Here is a 19,998-nt window from a genome sequence, read left to right as displayed (position 1 = left end):
GCAAAATCTTTCTTTTGCATATTGATAGTGTAGAAGAAATGTGGCTCAATAGTAGAATATTTTATGAAACCATTTTATTACTTTCAAGTACATAGAGAATTTTATTTTGGCAACCACTGTCACATATAGTGTAGATAATTCTTTCATGCTATTATTCTTTCCTTAAAAATCCCCTTTTCTCTCTGCTTATCCCATTTCCCTTAATTCCTGTTAAAGCCCTTTTGTGAAGAACCTCTTCCATGGTTTCTTCCTATTCAACATTCTTGATGTTTTTATTGCCTGTACACCTGTCACATGCTCCTTTGTATTATTGATCTTAATTTTAATTATATGTCTTGTCCCATTAGCAAATCTGAAAATTACTTAAGGGCAAGATTTGCATCTTGTTTTTTTCTTAAGATTTTGTTTTTTTCTTAAGTGCTGGAACATTAATAGAAGCTTACTAAACTGTTGATGGTGATTAGCATAGTAAGTGTTTATTCATAAACTTTCTCAGGATGTTTGAAAATGGTTTTTGTTTCAAACATTTGATGTTTAGAATTATCCTTATGGTACTAAATTGTTAAACTCTTTCTTGGAGTAATGATGCATCCCCTGACCATATTGCCACAAATTCTGAATTAGTGGGTCTTATATTAATTACATTTCATTGGTTCTCAGTACTTTACACAAAGTAGATGCTTAAGAGTTGACTAATGAAGAGAGGAATAAACAGCCTCAAAGAGCAAATGTTGTTGATATCTTAATATATTAAACTAGGGCTAAGAAGTGGCTTAATGCCCAGAGGAAAAAAATACCCTGTGATTCTGATTATTTTATTTGGAGCCTTTAAAAAATAGCTCCAAATAATGGTTTTTAAAAATGATTACCATACATTTCTATCCTCTAAAATCAGAGGGAAAAGATTATCCTGGGTTTTTCATGAATTGGGATTTTCCTTTGACCATCTGCCCACTTCCTTCAGTGGTATTAGAGTTGTGGACCCTGTGTCTATAGGTGTATTCATCTGAAGCATTTCTTTTCTGTTCTGCCTGTGTCCTAAGGAGTACAGGTCGGATATATTGCTGAAATTAGCAATGAGAAAAACTCAGAATTCATTTGGAGAAAGTAGAAAATGGATTATAAGCACTGGCATCACTTAATGGTGAATATTAATGTGCATACTTAAATATGACTGATGAAGTAGGTATAACTGAAGACATCACCGAATGTGTCACAGCTAGACGAGCACAGAGATTTGGCTAGAATTAAGGAAGGAATAGGGGAAACATTAAAGAAGAAGGTAAAGTGGATGGGAAAGGAAAGCAGATGTAAAGCAAAGTAGATTTAAATGCCAAAATGGCATGTGTAAAGATCACAAAAGAGAATTCACAGGGGGAATTAAGGAAAAAATAGTGGTAAAGCGAGGAGGAAATTATAAATAAGTTATTTTCAATGCTTTTCCTTGTCAGAGGAAAAAAACTTTAGAAAGCTTTAAAGTATTTTCACGGGATATAAAATTTACATTATTTAGAAAGAAGATGTTTTCTTGGTTATAGTATGTTGACATAACTTATTGTTACAGTAAACTTGTTCATCTGTACTTGAGGAAAATGTTACATGTAGATAATTTACAGTAAGATTGGAGATGGAGATAGGAACTTTACTAAGTTTAGAAATTTTTTTCTTGATACAGAAAAACTGCCAAATATAGAAAAGCATAGAGGAGTAGGAAGCTTCATTACCCATTGTAATAACTTTTAAAATAAATTTTAACTTTTAGGTTCACAGCAAATTGCGTGGAAGATATAGAGATTTCCCATATTCTTTCTGCTCCCACACATGTGTTACCTCCACGTTTATCAACATCCCCCACCATAATGATACTTTTGGTTATAATTGATGAACCTACATTGAAGCCTCATTATTACTCGAAGTCCATAGTTTACATTAGGGTTCTCTGTTGGTGGTGTGCATTCTATGAGTTTTGGCAAACACATGATGGCATGTATTTACCATTGTAGTAGCATACAAGGTAGTTTCACTGCCCTAAAAATCCTGCATTCTGTGGCTTTCATCCCTCTGACCCCCTAACTCCTGGTAACCACTTATCCTTTTACTGTCTCTCTATACTTCTGCCTTTTCCAGTATGTCATAAAGTTGGAATCATACAGTATGTAGCCTTTTCAGATTGGTTTCTTTCTCTTAGTCATAAGCATTTAAGTTTCCTCCGTGTCTTTTCATACCTTGATAGCTCATTTCTTTTTTCTTTTTCTTTTTTTTCTGCCTTCTTTTTTTCTTCATTTCTTCTTTAAAAACAAAAAAAAGGGGATACATGTGCAGAACGTGCAGGTTTGTTACATAGGTATGCATGTGGCATGGTGGTTTGCTGCACATATTGACCTGTCCTCTAAGTTCCCTCCCCTCAACTCTCATCCCCCATCCCCCAACAGGCCGTGGTGTGTGATGTTCCCCATCATGTGTCCATGTGTTCTCAATGTTCAGCTCCCAGTTATGAGTGAGAACATGTGGCGTTTGGTTTTCTGTTCCTGTGTTAGTTTGCTGAGGATGATGGCTTCCAGCTTCATCCATGTCCCCTCATTTCTTTTTAGTACTGAATATTTCATTTTCTGGATGTACTACACTTTATTTCTCCATTCACCTACTGAAATCATCTTGCTTGATTCCAAGTGCTGCCAATTATGAATAAAGTTGCCAAACATCTGTGTGCAGGTTTTTGTGTGGACATAAGTTTTCAGTTCATTTGGGTAAATACCAAGGAGTACAATTCCTGATAAGAGTATGTTTAGCTTTGTAAGAAATTGCCAAACTGTCTTCCAAAGTGGCTGGACCATTTTGCATTCCCACCAGCAATGAAGGAAAATCTCTGTTACTCTACATCATTGCCAGAATTTACTGTTGTCAGGGTTTGTTGTAATTACTTTGCAAAGTTTTATTCTATATACTTTCATTACTTTTTACATATATGCAAAATAGTGTACCATAATTTAATCATTTCTATTTAGTTGAACATACAGGCTACTTCCATTTTGTCTTTTACTGTCAGTAAAAAACCCTATCATAAAAATCCTTTATATGAAACTTTTTATATACTTTTTTCTTTAGAATAAATTCCAGAGGTAGAACTGTACTGAGATGGTAGAGACACAGTTTTTAAGTTTCAAAATTTTAATTTAAGAACACTTGGAACTTGGCTAAAATTATTCCTTTGGGAAATAATTTGTAAAGATAATTTTCTTTTCTGTCTTTAAATTTTCTGTACAAATGATGAGGACCTTGACTAAATATAATGTAAAATGTAACAAGACCTTTATTAAAGACACTAATTTCAAATGAATATTCCAAAATTTTTTTGTAAAAATATTTAATATTATTGACTGATTTTAGTAAACTTTATGCTTTATTTACCTATTGTCTGGTGGTAGTGCTGTTATACAATTAAACGGAGGAAAGGCCATTTAAGTAGTAATTCAACTGGCTAAAAATAACCAGCATTGAATATTAAGAAACATGAAATAAATTGTTTATAAATTAAAACATGAGTTTAACATGGTTAATTTCAGAAGTAAAAATGCAGTTTTATAATTATGTTTAGTTTCTTTTTTTAACGAAAATTTACTTTGGATTGAGATAAGTAGGCTGGATAAAATCTTACAGCCTAGTCATTTTTAAGCTACTTAGGAATATTTGGTTAGAGTAACTGTGTTTTGGCTATTCGTATTTGAATGCATGAAGAAATGTTAATTCTGTGTTAAAACTGAACAATTAAAATTTATTTGAAAAAACTTTTTTTCCTTTTTCCTGTTTTTTTTTTTTTTTTTTTTTTTTTAAACTTCCATATAAGCTCTATCTTTAAGTCTACTGGGTAGTGCTGAATTGATGCATTATATTTATTGGTTTGCATTTAGCTCCCAGGAAATTTCTATCAACAGTAATTGTATCTTAGTTAAGTATTGATACCCACTGTGTCCTCCCAGCACGAAGCAGTGCTAATTTTCTCAGTTTGGAAAAGGTAACTCATTACCTGTTACAGCATTATTCTCTCAGGTGGGGAAAGTTAGGGTTGTCTGATTGGCTCCAAGTATAACTGCAAGTATCCTTTGATTGATAAAAGTAACTGTTCTAGGACATTTTGCCATCAGTTGAATTCTATAAGTCAACCGTTTCTCTTTCCATTGATCCTACTTCAAAATTAGACCTATAACCTACTAGAAAACTGTGAACTCTTCATTGTGTCACAGAATAAAAATGCTTAATAAGAAAATATGGTGACAAAATTTTTGTTATTATATTGGTGTTTCTTTGTGCTTCATATTGTTTTCTCTGTAGAGGTAACAATTCAATACAATTTTAGTAATTTGGGCAAGTCTTTCACCCACTTAAAAGTTATACTTCATTCCTAGTATCGCCTTTTTTTTGAGGGAGGTAACTTATCTTTACAGTAATGATACTGTAAAGTATCTTTAAGCTACTTTCTAGCCACATTAGTCTGGCTATAGTTACATGTTGTTAAAAGCTTGGTTTGAGTTGTTAAAATTACCCATAATTGTTAGAATGAGTCCATATAGTAGCTTTACTTTAGGACTAAGTTAGCCCTGCCTCTGTATGAACCCACTGGTCTCTACTGAATGCTCTTGGTGTTCAATGAGGTCTTTCTACTGAGTAGTCAGTGGTTTTCCAGCCCTGTGGGAGCAATGGTTCTTTGCCTGCTCTAGTAAAGGAACCCCTATATGGATTGTTGGAGCGTGTGTGTGTGTGTGTGTGTGTGTGTGTGTGTGTGTGTGTGTGTGTATCTGTATCCCTTCTGTCTGGTACTCTGCCTCATAAATTCCAGCTGCCTCAGCCTCCTCCAAATCTTGGTCTCAACTCAAGAGACTGTTGTTCTGTATTTGGATGTCTCCGTCCTTGTACTGTGTTCTGGAATTTGCCCTGAGGCAAAAAGCTAGGATGATGATAGGACTCCACCTATTTTTTCCCCTTTCATCAAGGTATTGCTGGGAAGCATTGCCTTTTGTCCCGTGTCTAAAAACAGTTGTTTCCTATATCCAGTTTTTAGTTGTTTACAGCAAGAGGTCAAATCCCACATTCTCCTCCATGGCATGAGTGGAAGTCTGGTTCTGGTGTTAATTTTTATGTGAAAACATTGAAATAGAGTACAGCAAGACTTCCAAGGTTAGTCAACAAGTATTAAGAAGCCACCAGTGTCTTGGGAGGATATAAAGGACAATATGCTCTCTGTGAGGATAACACAGACAGAAAGTAAAGATTATGACAATCTGTGTATATCAAGATTCCATAGAAAGTGGGAGCCTGTGTATAAAGGATGATCTTCAAATTGGATTGAAGTAGAGCAAATCATATTAACAAGTGCACCCAGCACAGTAATACCAATGTATACTGCTAAGCAAGATTGAATGGAAATTTTTACTAAACTCTATAGATAATTATTTATAATATAACATTGATTTAATTAGTTTTTAAAAATTTACATTTTTATGCCTTTGCCCTTTTCAGTTCTCCAAAGTTGATAGTAGTCATTTTAATTTTGAAATTGCCTTTCTATATGAGGTAAGTGTTTACATTTCTGGCCACACCAAATTATTTAATCCCAAACCTACATGCTCAGTATTACTTGTTTATAATATATGACATCAATGAAACATCAGCAAAGTAGTACTTTTTTATGCCCAACTATCCATCTAGTTGTTAAATTTTTCATTGATGTCTCTGTCTGTGTTAACTAATGCAATTATTCCTGTTCTAGAACATTACTAATGCTCAGTTCAGTATCTTCATTATCTGTATGTAGTATGTCAGTTATCTATTTCTCTAAAACTCATTGAAAATATAAAAAATACGTTATAAGTGTGTTTAAAACAAAGGCTGGGTATTCATGTTATTTGGTTCCATTGGCAGAGATTTTGACACTCTGAATCTGTTTTTTAGCTTAAGTGTTAATAATGAGGAACTTAAAAAAGACAATGTTAAAAACAGATTTCTAATTTTTCACACCTCCTTAACAGCAGGTTGCAAGCGCTTTGAACATTTGATCAGGCTGATCCTGTTTCACTGCTATAACTACTCACAGTCTTATGAGCAGCCTTTCAAAAGCTGCCAAATGCTCCTTACTGCTCTTCAGCTGGCTGTGATCCAGCTAACTATTGGCATTTTGTCACCTAGGAATCACATTTGGACATTGATAAGTATCATTGGTCCACACTGGAATTATACAGGAATAAGAGAGGTTCTTTTCTAGATCTAAAATGACTCCAAGGCTGGGCTTGGTAGCTCACGCCTGTAATCCCAGCACTTTGGGAGGCCAAGGCGGGTAGATCACCTGAGGTCAGGAGTTCAAGACCAGCCTGGCCAACATGGTAAAACTCCGTCTCTACTACTACTACTAATAATAATAAAAAATTAGCCAGACATGGTGCCTGGCGCCTGTAATCCTAGCTACTCAGGTGGCTGAAGCAGGAGGATCGCTTGAACCTGGGAGGCAGAGGTTGCAGTGAGCCAAGATTGCGCCACTGCACTCCAGCCTGGGCGACAGAGTGAGACTCTGTCTCAATTAAAAAGAAAAGACTCTGGAAGATCTTTAGGAAAACCTAATCTATTTTACGTTGTCTATATCTGAGGCTTCTCTAGTGACTGATACCGGGATTTAAGGGTGTAGGATAGGAAGTGGAATTCAGATGTAGGATTTTAGATATATCCATCCATCAGTGCTGTGTGGCAGCAGCTAGACCATTCTTTCTAAAATACCCCTTCCATAGCCCTCTACCTTCATTTTATTATTTATTCTCTAGCCTTGCTTACAAGGAAAACTACAAACCACTGCTCAAAGAAATCAGAGATGACAAAAACAAGTGGAAAAACCATCTATGCTCATGGATGGGAAGAATCAGTATCATTAAAATGGCCATACTGCCCAAAGCAATTTATAGATTTAAATGCTTTTCCCATTAAACTACCATTGATATTTTTTACAGAAGTAGAGAAAACTATTTTAAAATTCATATGGAACCAAAAAAGAGCACTAATAGCCAAGACAATCCTAAGCAAAAAACAAAGCTGGAGCCATCAAGCTACTTGGCATCAAACTGTACTACAAGGCTACAGTAAGCAAAATAGCATGGCACTGGTACAAAAAGAGACACATAGAGCAGTGGAACAGAACAGAGAACCCGAAAATAAGACTGCTACAACTATCTGATCTTTGGCAGACTTCCTTTATTTCCTTTTAAAAGGAAATAAGGAGGAAAGATGCTTTTGAGGATCTTTTTAATAAAACACAACAAAGAAAACACCAAAAATCTGTCACCCCAATTAAACAAGCCAATTTATTTCTTTCTAAAAAATTCCTGTTTGTGTATAGAAATTAGAAATCAGTGTGAACGAATTGTTTAGTAACTTCCATGTTGTCGAACAGTATGGTATTTAATTGAGAGGCTGAATCAGAGGATGCTGTGCTAAGATAGGTATCTAAGGGGAGATCTTAAAACTTTTTTCCTTGAATGCCTTGAATAGAAGAAACCAAAGGATTCTACAAATGCCTATGTGTGGTCTGAGAGAGTCATTAATGCATTCAAAAATATTTATTAGTTACCTACTATTTTAGGAGCTGAAGATACAGAGATTAACAAGACCAAAAAGGGTGCGGTGGCTCACGCCAGTAATCCCAGCACTTTGGGAGGCCAAGGCGGGCGGATCACTTGAGGTCAGGAGTTGAAGACCAGCCTGGCCAACATGGTGAAACCCCATCTCTACTAAAAATACAAAAAAAAAAAATTAGCCGGGCATGGTGGCAAATGCCCATAGTCCCAGCTACTCGGGAGGCTGAAGCATGAGAATCACTAGAACCCGGGAGGCAGAGGTTGCAGTGAGCAGAGATGCCACCACTGCACTCCAGCCTGGGCAATAGAGTGAGATTCTGTCTCAAAAAAAAAAACAAAAACAAAAAACAAAAAAAAAAGTTAAAAAAGTACATACAGAGATAAACAAGACAGAAAATGTACATTATAGTAGTTTAATTTCAAGAGAAATTAGGAAGAGCCATTTTTGGAAGCTGTTATTTTACTGTCTCTTCTCTACCTTTGCACATATAGTGAATTAACTCAAAGAATTTTAAAATTACAAATGGGGATGCATTAATTTGCATGCCTTATTTTTATATGAATCTTTTTAGTTGCTCAATGTTAGAAAATGGCAAAATGCTAACAAAATCATTTGTCCCATTGCTAAAGTTGGATGTTTTCCCATATTAAATGGCTACTTTTCAGTTTCAACCCTACACTTTCTTTGAATATTAAAAGGATAGGTTGCAAAAGACAGGTTCTTTAATAGGTAATAGACAGACCTAAGTAGAAAAGTAGATATAGGATATTATGGTCAGGTTGACAGATGTGGCCATTTATTGATAGTTAGATTTCTCATTGTATAGGCACTTATCTAATGATATTTATGCATAGTTCATAACTCTGTGTACTTCAGTATTGTGAGGCATAATCAAATGTTGTCTAGAACTGGCACACATTATATATAGTACATTTTCTGAAAAGTTTTGTGAATATTAAATCATACGGTTTTATAACTAGCACATAAAATGTAAGGAAACACTTGATGAATCCTGTTCACAAAGTTAAAAAATCTTTTCTGTGATACAAAGTCATATCTACTTTAATTGTTCTATAAATTGGGATTAAAAATAAGACCATTTTATTAGCTGACTTCTGTTAAATAATGATTTGTTATATATAGTCGTATTATATACATACATACATACGGACATGTATATATGTAGAAAGAGAGTTAGGAATTAGCTGTGAGCTAATAGGTAATTAAAAGGCAGTATTTACCTTTTATTTATGTGTTTCTTGGTAAACTTGTTTGTGAATCCACAATACTGTCTTAGAAAACTTACCTTTAATATCTTGCCTATCTTTCTTATTTTCTACCAATTCTAAATTTTAGAGCATTATATTTAACCTCAAATTAGATAACTAGACCATAGAAAGAATTGAGTAAAGTAAGATCTTTACTCCTTTCCCAGACTGTACATTCATTCGTTTACAAGAATGGTTCAGAATCTGTAATTAGACACTTAAGTAACAGTCTCTGTTGTAGATACCTAATTAGTTAAATAGTTCATCTGTCCTAGTACTGTTAGATGATACCTGTTGGCAAGCATGTAATGGATTTTGTTCATATGAATGGAAAGAATTCAGGTTTCTTTCTTAGAAGTTGTAATTTTCTTTTTTTTCTTTTTGTTTCTGTTTTTGAGATTGAGTCTTGCTCTGTCACCCAGGCTGGAGTGTAGTGGCTCGATCTTGGCTTGCTGCAACCTCCGCCTCCAGGGTTCAAGCAATTGTCTGCCTCAGCCTCCTGAGTAGCTGAGATTACAGATGTCCACCACCATGCCCAGCTAATTTTTGTATTCTTAGTAGAGACGGGGTTTCACCATCTTGGCCAGGCTGGTCTTGAACTCCTGACCTCGTGATTCACCTGCCTCAGCCTCCCAAAGGGTTGGGATTACAGGTGTGAGCCAATGCACCCGGCCAGAAGTTGTAATTTTCATAAGGTAAATTGGAAATAATTTTTTTTGTTTGTTTTTGAGACGGAGTTTTGCTCTTGTTGCCCAAGCTGGAGTGCAGTGGCACGATCTCAGCTCACTGCAACCTCTGCCTTCCAGGTTCAAGCGATTCTTCTGCCTCAGCCTCCCAAGTAGCTGGGATTACGGGCGTCTGCCACCATGCCCGGCTAATTTTTTGTCTTTTTAGTAGAGACAGGGTTTCACTATCTTGGTCAGGCTGGTCTTGAACTCCTGACCTCAGGTGATTGACCCACCTTGGCCTACCAAAGTGCTGGGATTACAGGCATGAGCCACCACACCTGGCCAATTGGAAATAATTTTATTTGGTGATATGGCAATGACATTTTCTCAGATTTTAAAATTCATAGATTAGGCAGAGAGAAGTCACTTAAGTGCTTATTCAATGAATGTATCTAAGTTCTGTATTATATTTGCATGCAGAATGAAATTAGACCCTCATCTCATAACGCAGACAAAAATCAAACTCAAAATAGACTGAAGACTTAAACATAAGACTTGAAACCATAAAGCTACTAGAAGAAAACATAGGTGAAAAGCTTCACAACATTGCTTTTAGCAATGATTTCATGGATATGACCTCAAAAGCATAGCCAACAAAAGCAAAAGTAGGTAAATGGGATAATATCAAACTAAAAAGCTTCTGCAAGAGAAATAATCCCAGAGTGAAGAGACAACCTAGGGAATGGGGGAAAATATTTACGAACCAAACCCTGATAAGGGGTTAATATCAAAAATATGTAAAGGAATTCAGACAACTCGATAGCAAGAAAACAACCCAATTACAAAGTGGGGAAAGGACATGAATAGAAATTTCTCAAAATAAAACATACCAATGGCCAACAAGTATATGAAAAAATGCTCAGTGTCACTAATTATCAGAGAAATGCAAATTAAAACCAAAATGAGGTATCACTTGACACCTGTTAGAATGGCTGTTATTAAAAAAAAAAAGAGAGAAGTGTTATTGAGGATGTGGATGAAAGGGAACCATTGTACACTGTTGGTGGGAATATAAATTAGTACAGCCATTATGGAAAACAGTACGGAGGTTTCTCAAAAAATTAAAAATAGAACTACCATATGATCTCGCAATCCCACTCTGTATATCCACAGGGAATGAAATCAGTATGTCAGAGAGATATCTGCATTCCCATAGTCATTGCCGCTTTAATCACAATAGACAAGATATGGAATCAACCTTAGTGTCCATCAACAGATGAAGGAAAATAGACTATATATGCAAAATTGAATACTATTCAACCTTTAACAAGAAGGAAATCCTGTCTTTAAAAAACAATTTTTTAAAGTTCCAGGATACATGTGCAGAATGTTCAGATTTGTTACGTAGTATACATGCGCCATTGTGGTTTGCTGTACCTATCAACCTGTCATCTAGGTGTTAAGCCCCACATTCATTAGGTATTAGTCCTAATGCTCTCCCTCCCCTGACCCCCCACCCCTCAACAGGCTCCGGTTTATGTTGTTCTCCTCCCTGTGTCCATGTGTTCTCATTGTTCAACTCCCACTTATGACTGAGAACATGTGGTGTTTGGTTTTCTTTTCCTGTGCTAGTTTGCTGAGAATGATGGCTTCCAGCTTCATCCATGTCCCTGCAGAGAACATGATCTCATTCTTTTTTATGGCTGCATAGTATTCCATGGTGTGTATGTGCCACATTTTCTTGACCCAGTCTATCATTGATGGTCATTTGGGTTTGTTCCAGGTCTTTGCTATTGTAAGCAGTGTTGCAGTAAACATACATGTGCATATGTCTTTATAGTAGAATGATTTATAATTCTTTGGGTATATACCCAGTAATGGGATTGCTGGGTCACATGGTATTTCTGGTTCTAGGTCCTTGAGGAATTGCCACACTGTCTTCCACAATGGTTGAACTAATTTACATTCCCACCAACAGTGTAAAAGCATTCCTGTTTCTCTACAGCCTCACCAGCATCTGTTGTTTCCTGATGTTTTAATAATTGCCATTTTGACTGGTATGAGATGGTATCTCATTGTGGTGATTTGCATTTCTAATCAGTGATGATGAACTTTTTCTCATATGTTTGTTGGCTGCATAAATGTCTTCTTTGAGAAGGGTCTGTTCATATACTTTGCCCACTTTTTGATGGGGTTGTTCGTTTTTTTCTTGTGCATTTTTTTAAGTTTCTTGTAGATTCTGGTAGACCTTTGTCAGATGGGTAGATTGCAAAAATTTTCTCCCATTCTGTAGGTTGCCTGTTCACTCTCATGCTAGTTTCTTTTGCTGTGCAGATGCTCTTTAGTTTAATTAGATCCCATTTGTCTATTTTGGCTTTTGTTGCCATTGCTTTTGGTGTTTTAGTCATGGAGTTTTTGCTCATGCCTGTGTCCTGAATGGTATTGCCTAGGTTTTCTTCTAGTGTTTTTATGGTTTGAGGTGTTACATTTAAGTCTTTAATTCATCTTGAGTTAATTTTTTGTAAGGTGTAAGGAAGGGGTCTAGTTTCAGTTTTCTGCATATGGCTAGCCAATTTTTCCAGCACCATTTTTATCCCCATTGATTGTTTTTGTCAGGTTTGTCAAAGATCAGATGGTTGTAGATGTGTGATGTTATTTCTGAGGTCTCTGTTCTTTTCCATTGGTCTATATATCTGTTTTGGTACCAGTACCATGCTGTTTTGTATACTATAGCCGTTTTGCTATACTATAGCGTTATAGTATAGTTTGAAGTCAGGTAGCATGATGCCTCCAGCTTAGTTCTTTTTGCTTAGGATTGTCTTGGTTATACAGGCTCTTTTTTTGGTTCCATATAAAATTTAAAGTAGTTTTTTTTAGTTCTGTGAAGAAAGTCAATGGTAGCTTGATGGGAATAGCATTAAATCTATACATTACTTAGGGCAGTATTGCCATTTTCATGATAATGATTCTTTCTAGCCATAAGCATGGAATGTTTTTCCATTTGTTTGTGTCCTCTCATTTTCTTGAGTAGTGGTTTGTAGTTCTCCTTGAAGAGGTCCTTCACATCCCTTGTAAGTTGTATTCCTAGGTATTTTATTCTGTTTGTAGCAGTTGTGAATGGGAGTTCATTCATGATTTGGCTCTCTACTTGTCTTTTGTTAATGTATAGGAATGCTTGTGATTTTTGCACATTGATTTTGTATCCTGAGACTTTGCTGAAGTTGCTTATCAGCTTAAGGATTTTTTGGGCTGAGACACTGGAGTTTTCTAAATATAGAGTCATGTCATCTACGAACAGAGACAATTTGACTTCCTCTCTTCCTATTTTAATACCCTTTATTTCTTTCTCTTGCCTGATTGCCCTGGCCAGAACTTCCAATAATATGTTGGATAGGAGTGGTGAGAGAGGGCATCCTTGTCTTGTGCCAGTTTTCAAAGGGTATGCTTCCAGCTTTTACCCATTCAGTATGATATTGGCTATGGGTTTGTCATAAATCACTCTTATTATTTTGAGATATGTTCCATCAATACCTAGTTTATTGAGAGTTTTTAACATGAGATGTTGAATTTTATCGAAGTCCTTTTCTGCATCTGTTGAGATAATCATGTGGCTTTAGTCATTGGTTCTGTTTATGTGATGGATTACATTTATTGATTTGCATTTATTGAACCAGCCTTGCATAACAGTGATGAAGCCAAGTTGATCGTGGTGGATAAGCTTTTTGATGTGCTGCTGGATTCGGTTTGCCAGTGTTTTATTGAGGATTTTCGCATCGATGTTCATTAGGGAAATCCTGTCATTTTGACAACATGGATGAACCTGGAGGACATTACGTTAAGTTAAATGAGTGAGGCAGAGGAAGACAAATACTATATAATCTCACTTATACAGTCAGCCGTTAGTATCTGTGGATTCTGCATTCAAGGATAAAAAATATTTGGAAAAAAATAAAATCAACAATAAAAAATAATACAACATAAAAAAGTATAACTGTATAGCATTTACATTGTACTGGGTAGTAGAGTAATCTAGAGATGATTTAACATGTACAGAAGAATGTGTGCAGGTTATGTGTAGATACTATGCCATTTTGTATAAGGGACTTGAGCATCTGTGGATTTTGGTGTCTGTGGGGGTATTGGAGTCAATCCCCGTGGATACTGGGGGATGCTTGTATTTTTGATCCCAGGTTGGTTGAATCCAACCACACGGAACCCACAGATAAGGAGGCTCAGTTGTATGGAATCTAAAAACATTGAAGCCATAGAAGCAGCATAGAATGGTGGTCATCGGGCTGGCAGTAGGGAGGATTTTGGAGATGTTTGTCTAAAATAACAAAAGTTCATTTAGATTAGGAATACATTCAAGAGATCTATTGTACAATGTGGTAATGTGGTGACTATAGTTGTTATTAATAACAATGTTTTATATATTTGAAAGTTGCTGAGAGAGTAGATTTTAAGTGTTCTCACCACACACAGAAAAGATAAATATTTGAGGCAATGGATATGTTAATTAGCTTGATTTGGTCATTCCACAATATATACATGTATCAAGACATCATGTTGTATATTATGAATATTTATATGACAAAATTTTATACAATTTTTATTTATCAATTAAAAAATAAAGTTTCTGTTCTGTTGTCAAAATTTTATTTTAAATAGCTAAATCCTCCTTCCCTCTAAAAAACCTGACTAAAATTAAGTCACACAACAAACTAGGAAAAGAATTTGCAGAAAATAAACCAGAGATTTAATATTTTTATATAGCTGAATACCTTCGATATTTGTTTAGAGTGCCACAAAGTTTAATCTTTTACTGGTGACATAAAGCTACCATTATGATTGTTGATTAGAGGACAGTACTGTAATAAGAGTTGCCCTTAGGCCTTCTGAGGGAGGCACAGGGATATTTGGCCCAACTCCAAGTTGGCCATACTAGTTTCACTGGTTTACTTAGTTTTTCTGCCCCATTCCTACTTGTTGGACTTCATCTGTTACTTCTTATTTTTGTTAATGTTTCTACCAGTAGCCATTACTCTTATTTCCTTATACTCTTTTTCTACACACATTGTATATATTTGGGGAGTTTTAATTTTAGCAATGAATTATGAACATTTCTTAATATCATTAAACATTTTGCAAAAATATATTTCCCCATCACATGTATTTATCATAATCTAATTATTTCTTCTTTCTCAGATATTTAGATTGCCAGTTTTTCACTGCTATAATTTTGCCCCAGGCATTATTATAAATTGTTTGGCTTTCTGATTCTTTACAATAGTATTTTAGAATAAAAATTGCTGGGATATAAAAGGATATAAAGGTTTAGTATTTAATTTTTTATTGCTTGTTTATTTCTTTCTAAATAGGAAATATAAGCTCAGGGGAAGTAATCAAACAAAAGAAAAGTTATGCGGTAAAAAATTCTCCCTCTTATTCCAGGCCCCCAGTCTCTAGGAAAAAAGGCCTGCAATAAAAGATACTGTTTGAACTCAAATGATTCCATGAGCGTGGGAAGCATGGGAGTGACTTGTTCCAGTGCTTGTATGTACATACAATATTTCTGTAATACAGATGAGAGCATACTATACAAACTGTTCTGCACTTAAAAAAAAAACTTATGACTTTTTCATTTTGCCATGTTATTTTCCTGAAAAGCTGCACCATTTACACGTTCACATTTCACCCTTATAGGCATTGAATACTTTAATGTTTTTAAAGTTTTTGCTACATTCATTAGTGAAATTTTGAAATGCTTATGACTAGGAGGTTGAACAGTTTTTTTTTTTTTTGGAGTTACTTACAGGCCATGTGTAACCATTCTTCCTATTTGAATTTCCATTTTCTTACCTTGCTCATTATTTAAAAATTAAGATCTTCATAGGTCTTCATATACATGTCATTTTATTTGTGCTCTTTATATATTAAACATATTAGCTTGACATAAGGCTATATGTTATGTCACAGATCTCACAAATCACCGCTAAAGAACTTACTCATGTAACCAAATACCACCTGTTCCCCCAGAAACCTCTTTATATATTAAACATATTAGCCTTGACATAAGGCTATATGTTATGTCCTTTATTGCTTTTTAATTTTATTTAATTTTTGTAGGGACAGTCAACAGTTGAACACTTTTATGTATTTTTTAAATTTTTATATATCTGGCCAGGCGTGATGGCTCATGCCTGTAATCCCAGCACTTTGGGAGGCTGAGGTGGGCGGATTACCAGGTCAAGAGATTGAGACCATCCTGGCCAACATGGTGAAACCCTGTCTCTAATAAAAATACAAAAATTAGCTGGGCGTGGTGGTGCACACCTGTAGTCCCAGCTACTCCGGAGGCTGAGGTAGGTGATTCACTTGAACCTGGGAGGCAGAGGTTGCAGTGAGCCAAGATCGCGCCACTGCACTCCTGGCACAGCCTGGTGACAGAGCAAGACTCCGTCTCATAAAAAAAATTATATATCTTTAATTCCCTTCTAATTGTATAATTTTTAAATAAAAAAAACCCCTTTTGTTAGAATCATGCAAAGTAAAGAGTAAGTGGGGTCCTCCTACTCTTAAAAAATAGAAGATTAAACTGAAGACCTGTTCTAATCCAAATTACTATAGATATTGAATTCATGAAGCCTAGTTGAAGGAATATTTGACTGTCAGAACTGGAGACCGATACAATTCCAATTCTGGAATTTTGTCAATGTTGGTTGATGTTTCCAGTCTGCCTCCCTCTGCATTTGTGAGTACACGTGTGTGTAGTTGAGGGACAGTGAGTCTAGTATCCATCACATGTGTGGGTGTTATATGATGACCTCAGGCTTTGGCTTTTCTCTGTGTTCTTCCCATCTTAATCTCTACCTCTGTTCTTATTTTTAAAGTTTAGGCGCCTGTGGTGACCAAGGAGTAAAGAAGGTGCTGAGCTGTACCAGATATATTTTGCATTTCGGGCTTTGGCTCCCTCTCTAGAATTGTTGGTCATCATTTTGATAACTTGGTCACTGATATCCAGTTTAAAATTAGAATGAAATGAAGATAATTTAAAGATGTATGATCCATTAATCATTGATAGGCTTTTTCATTAATCAATGTTTTTTAAAAACGACTGGTTCTACTTTTTGCAGCTGACTCTTACTGTATTTGTTAATTTGTTTCTATGTATTTAGATCACATTAGCTACTCTGCTAAATAGCCACTCTGTATTTTAATAAAGTACTTAAATTTCTTAAAGATGAAAAAAAGGAAAAGGAAGATGTTAATTCAAAAGTATTACTGTTCAAATATTTGTATATTCAATATTTATCTTTAAATTTTCACTGTCTAGTAATCCAAATAAAATGTTGCCTTTTTCTTTATATGTATATTTTTAAGACATAAGATCTGGCTTTATTGTTCATGCTGGAGGACGATGATGGATCATAGCTCACTGCAGCCTTGAACTCCTGGGCTCAGGTGATCCTCCTGCCTCAGCCTCCCAAATCAGTGGGACTGCAGGTGTGAGCCATACAGGCTAATTTTTAAAATATATATAAGTATATATATATATTAGAGATGGGGTTTTGCTGTGTTGCCCAGGCTGGTCTCAAACTCCAGGGCTCAAGCTATCCTCCTGCCTCAGCCTTCCACTTCCTGGGATTACTCCCAGGCATGAGCCACTATGCCCTGCTCAAAATGTTGAGTTCTTCTGTTTGGTGATCTCACGTTACTAGACATGGCACCAAGCTGTGATTTACCTGCATGGATGGACAATGTCACTCCCCTCTGCCGGAATCATTTGTGTTCAAACAGTATCTTTTATTACTGTTCCGGGCTGTTCCCCCAGAACTTTCTGGACATTCTTATTTCTGGTGAATCAGTGTCCTTTTGTCGGGAGCTAATGGGAAATACATAATCTGAAGCTACAGCAAATATTATAGCTCCTGCTCTTGCTGTGACTCCTGGTGGTTCCTCCAGAGCAGGAAGGAGGAAAGAAAGGAGTGGCAAATGTGGGAGAGATAGTGTCCTTAGAATCCAATACATGATTTGGTAATTGGCCAAAATTATAACAATTGTTATTACTTACTGTGCTTTCTAATCCTTTTGACAATACAAGCAAAATACTATTCTTCCTATTTGACACATGAGAAAACTGACTTTCAGGGAAATTGTGTTCCATTCAAGGTGAGCAAAAGGTACTATGAAAACAGATGGAGAAGGTGAATTTAACTTTGGACGTGGTCAATTTAAGAGAGAAACATATTTTTAGAAACAAACTGACTAGGTCCAGTCGCTCATGCCTGTAATCCCAGCACTTTGGGAAGCCTAGGCAGGAGGATCTCTTGAGTTCAGGAGTTCGGGACCAGCCTTGGCAACATAGCAAGACCCTGTCTTTACCAAAAAAATTAAAAATTAGTCAGATGTGGTGGTGTGTGACTGTAGTCCAAGCTGCTCGGGAGGCTGAGGCAGGCAGGAAGATGGCTATGATCACACCACTGCACTCCAGCCAGATGATAGAGCAAGACCCTGTCTCAAAAAAAAAAACAAAACAAAAAACACCAAACTTAAAACAGTAGTTTAGTTTGGAGAAGTAGGTTTGGAGCTTGGGACGGAAGATGTCACTACAGGGATAGGTTTGGAAAATCCTATACACAGAGGTGATAATTAAAATATTGGAGATTGGTTCTATCCATCTGACAAAGGGCTAATATATAGAATCTACAAAGAACTTAAATAAATTTACAAGAAAAAACTCCATCAAAAAGTGGGTCCAGGATATGAACAGTTACTTCTCAAAAGAAGACATTTATGCAGCCAACAAACATGAAAAAAAGCTCATTATCACTGGACATTAGAGAAATGCAAATCAAAACCACAATGAGATACCATCTGATGCCAGTTAGAATGGTGATCATTAAAAAGACAGGAAACAACAGATGCTGGAGAGGATGTGGAGAAATAGGAACACTTTTACACTGTTGGTGGGAGTGTAAATTAGTTCAACCATTGTGGAAGACAGTGTGGCGATTCCTCAAGGATCTGGAACTGGAAATACCATTTGACCCAGCAATCCCATTACTGAGTATATATCCAAAGGATTATGAATCATTCTACTAAAAAGACACATGCACACATATGTTTATTGCAACACTATTCACAATAGCGAAGACTTGGAGCCAACCCAAGTGCCCATCAGTGATAGACTGGATAAAGAAAATGTGGCACATATACACTGTGGAATACTATGAAGCCATAAAAATGGATGAGTTCATGTCTTTTGCAGGGACATGGTTGAAGCTGGAAGCCATCATTCTCAGCAAACTAACACAGGAACAGAAAACCAAACACCACATGTTCTCAGTCATAAGTGGGAGTTGAACAATGAGAACACATGGACACAGGGAGGGGAACATCACACACTGGGGCCTGTCGGTGGGTGAGGGGGTAAGGGAGGGATAGCATTAGGAGAAATACCTAATGTAGATGAGGGGTTGATGAGTGCAGCAAACCACCGTGGCATGTGTATACATACCTATGTAACAAACTTGCACGTTCCGCACATGTATCCCAGAACTTAAAGTATAATGAAAAAAAAAAAAGTGATACAGTGAACTTTGGGGACTTGGGGGAAAGGGTGGGAGGGGGGTGAGGGATAAAAGACTACAAATTGGGTACAGTGTATGCTACTCGGGTGATGGGTGCACCAAAATCTCACAAATCACCACTAAAGAACTTACTCATGTAATCAAACACAGCTCGTTCCCAAAAATTCTATGAAAAAAAAAAATTGGAGATTGCTGATCATGTATTATGGAGTCATCATGGCAGTAGACTTAATTAGTTGTTCACCCATGCATTGCTCCCTGACACCCTTTTTGGAGCATAGATTCTGATTGCCTGAGAACCATTAATTTTGTTCAAAGGAGATTGCAGAACATGAATATATGAGGTAGCATTATAGATAGGTTTTCTCAGCCGGATCCCACTTCATCACCCTGTTGGTAACAATGAGCTGCCACAGCAGATTCTAATGGTAGGAGGATGGGCTCACACCCTTAGAAGATACTTCAGAATCTCCAGTTGAAACCCTTACCCCCTGTTATTCTCAGTTCCTTCCAATACATTTTTTAGAATCACTGTTTTAGACTTATAGAGAGAGAAAGTGAGGACTGTCACTTAATTTTACTTGTAAATAGGTAAACTTTTTGTTTCTTAGGTACTAAAGAAAACTTAGAAGCTTCTAACTATATTACCCCCGTTAATATGAAAAAGAAGACGTTACAAGGAGGTAACTCACTTAAAGGAATGGGGTTTATTGAAAGGACACAGCCACAGATGTACCCTGGCCTTGACCGTTCTGAAGTCTGTTCTCTCCATACCAGGCCTGTCATGGTGCCCCTGCTTCATTCACTCTCTGCCTCTCACTTTCAAATTCCCCAAGCTTGGTGGACCAGCTTTATTGT

At 36.3% G+C, this 19,998-nt stretch overlaps 1 protein-coding gene across 91 annotated transcripts in view; it reads left to right on the top strand.

Annotated features, from left to right (window-relative positions):
• SSBP2 (single stranded DNA binding protein 2) overlaps positions 1-19,998 on the top strand; it is a 339,004-nt gene that overhangs the window by 79,730 nt on the left and 239,276 nt on the right. For 2 of the 91 annotated variants that reach the window (XM_017009308.2, XM_047417064.1), the window contains exons 1-2: positions 3,831-15,103; positions 19,752-19,823. The exons of 88 other annotated variants lie outside the window; for them this stretch is intronic. The gene's annotated coding sequence lies outside the window, so the exon portion shown is untranslated. Of the gene's footprint in view, positions 1-3,830; positions 15,104-19,751; positions 19,824-19,998 lie in introns of those variants that run through there. One more of the 91 variants, XM_017009309.2, reaches the window with a different exon arrangement.

The sequence above is a fragment of the Homo sapiens genome, chromosome 5 (genome assembly GCF_000001405.40).
Source record: "Homo sapiens chromosome 5, GRCh38.p14 Primary Assembly".
NCBI lineage: Eukaryota > Metazoa > Chordata > Mammalia > Primates > Hominidae > Homo > Homo sapiens.
This window is presented reverse-complemented; position numbering and strand designations above follow the sequence as displayed.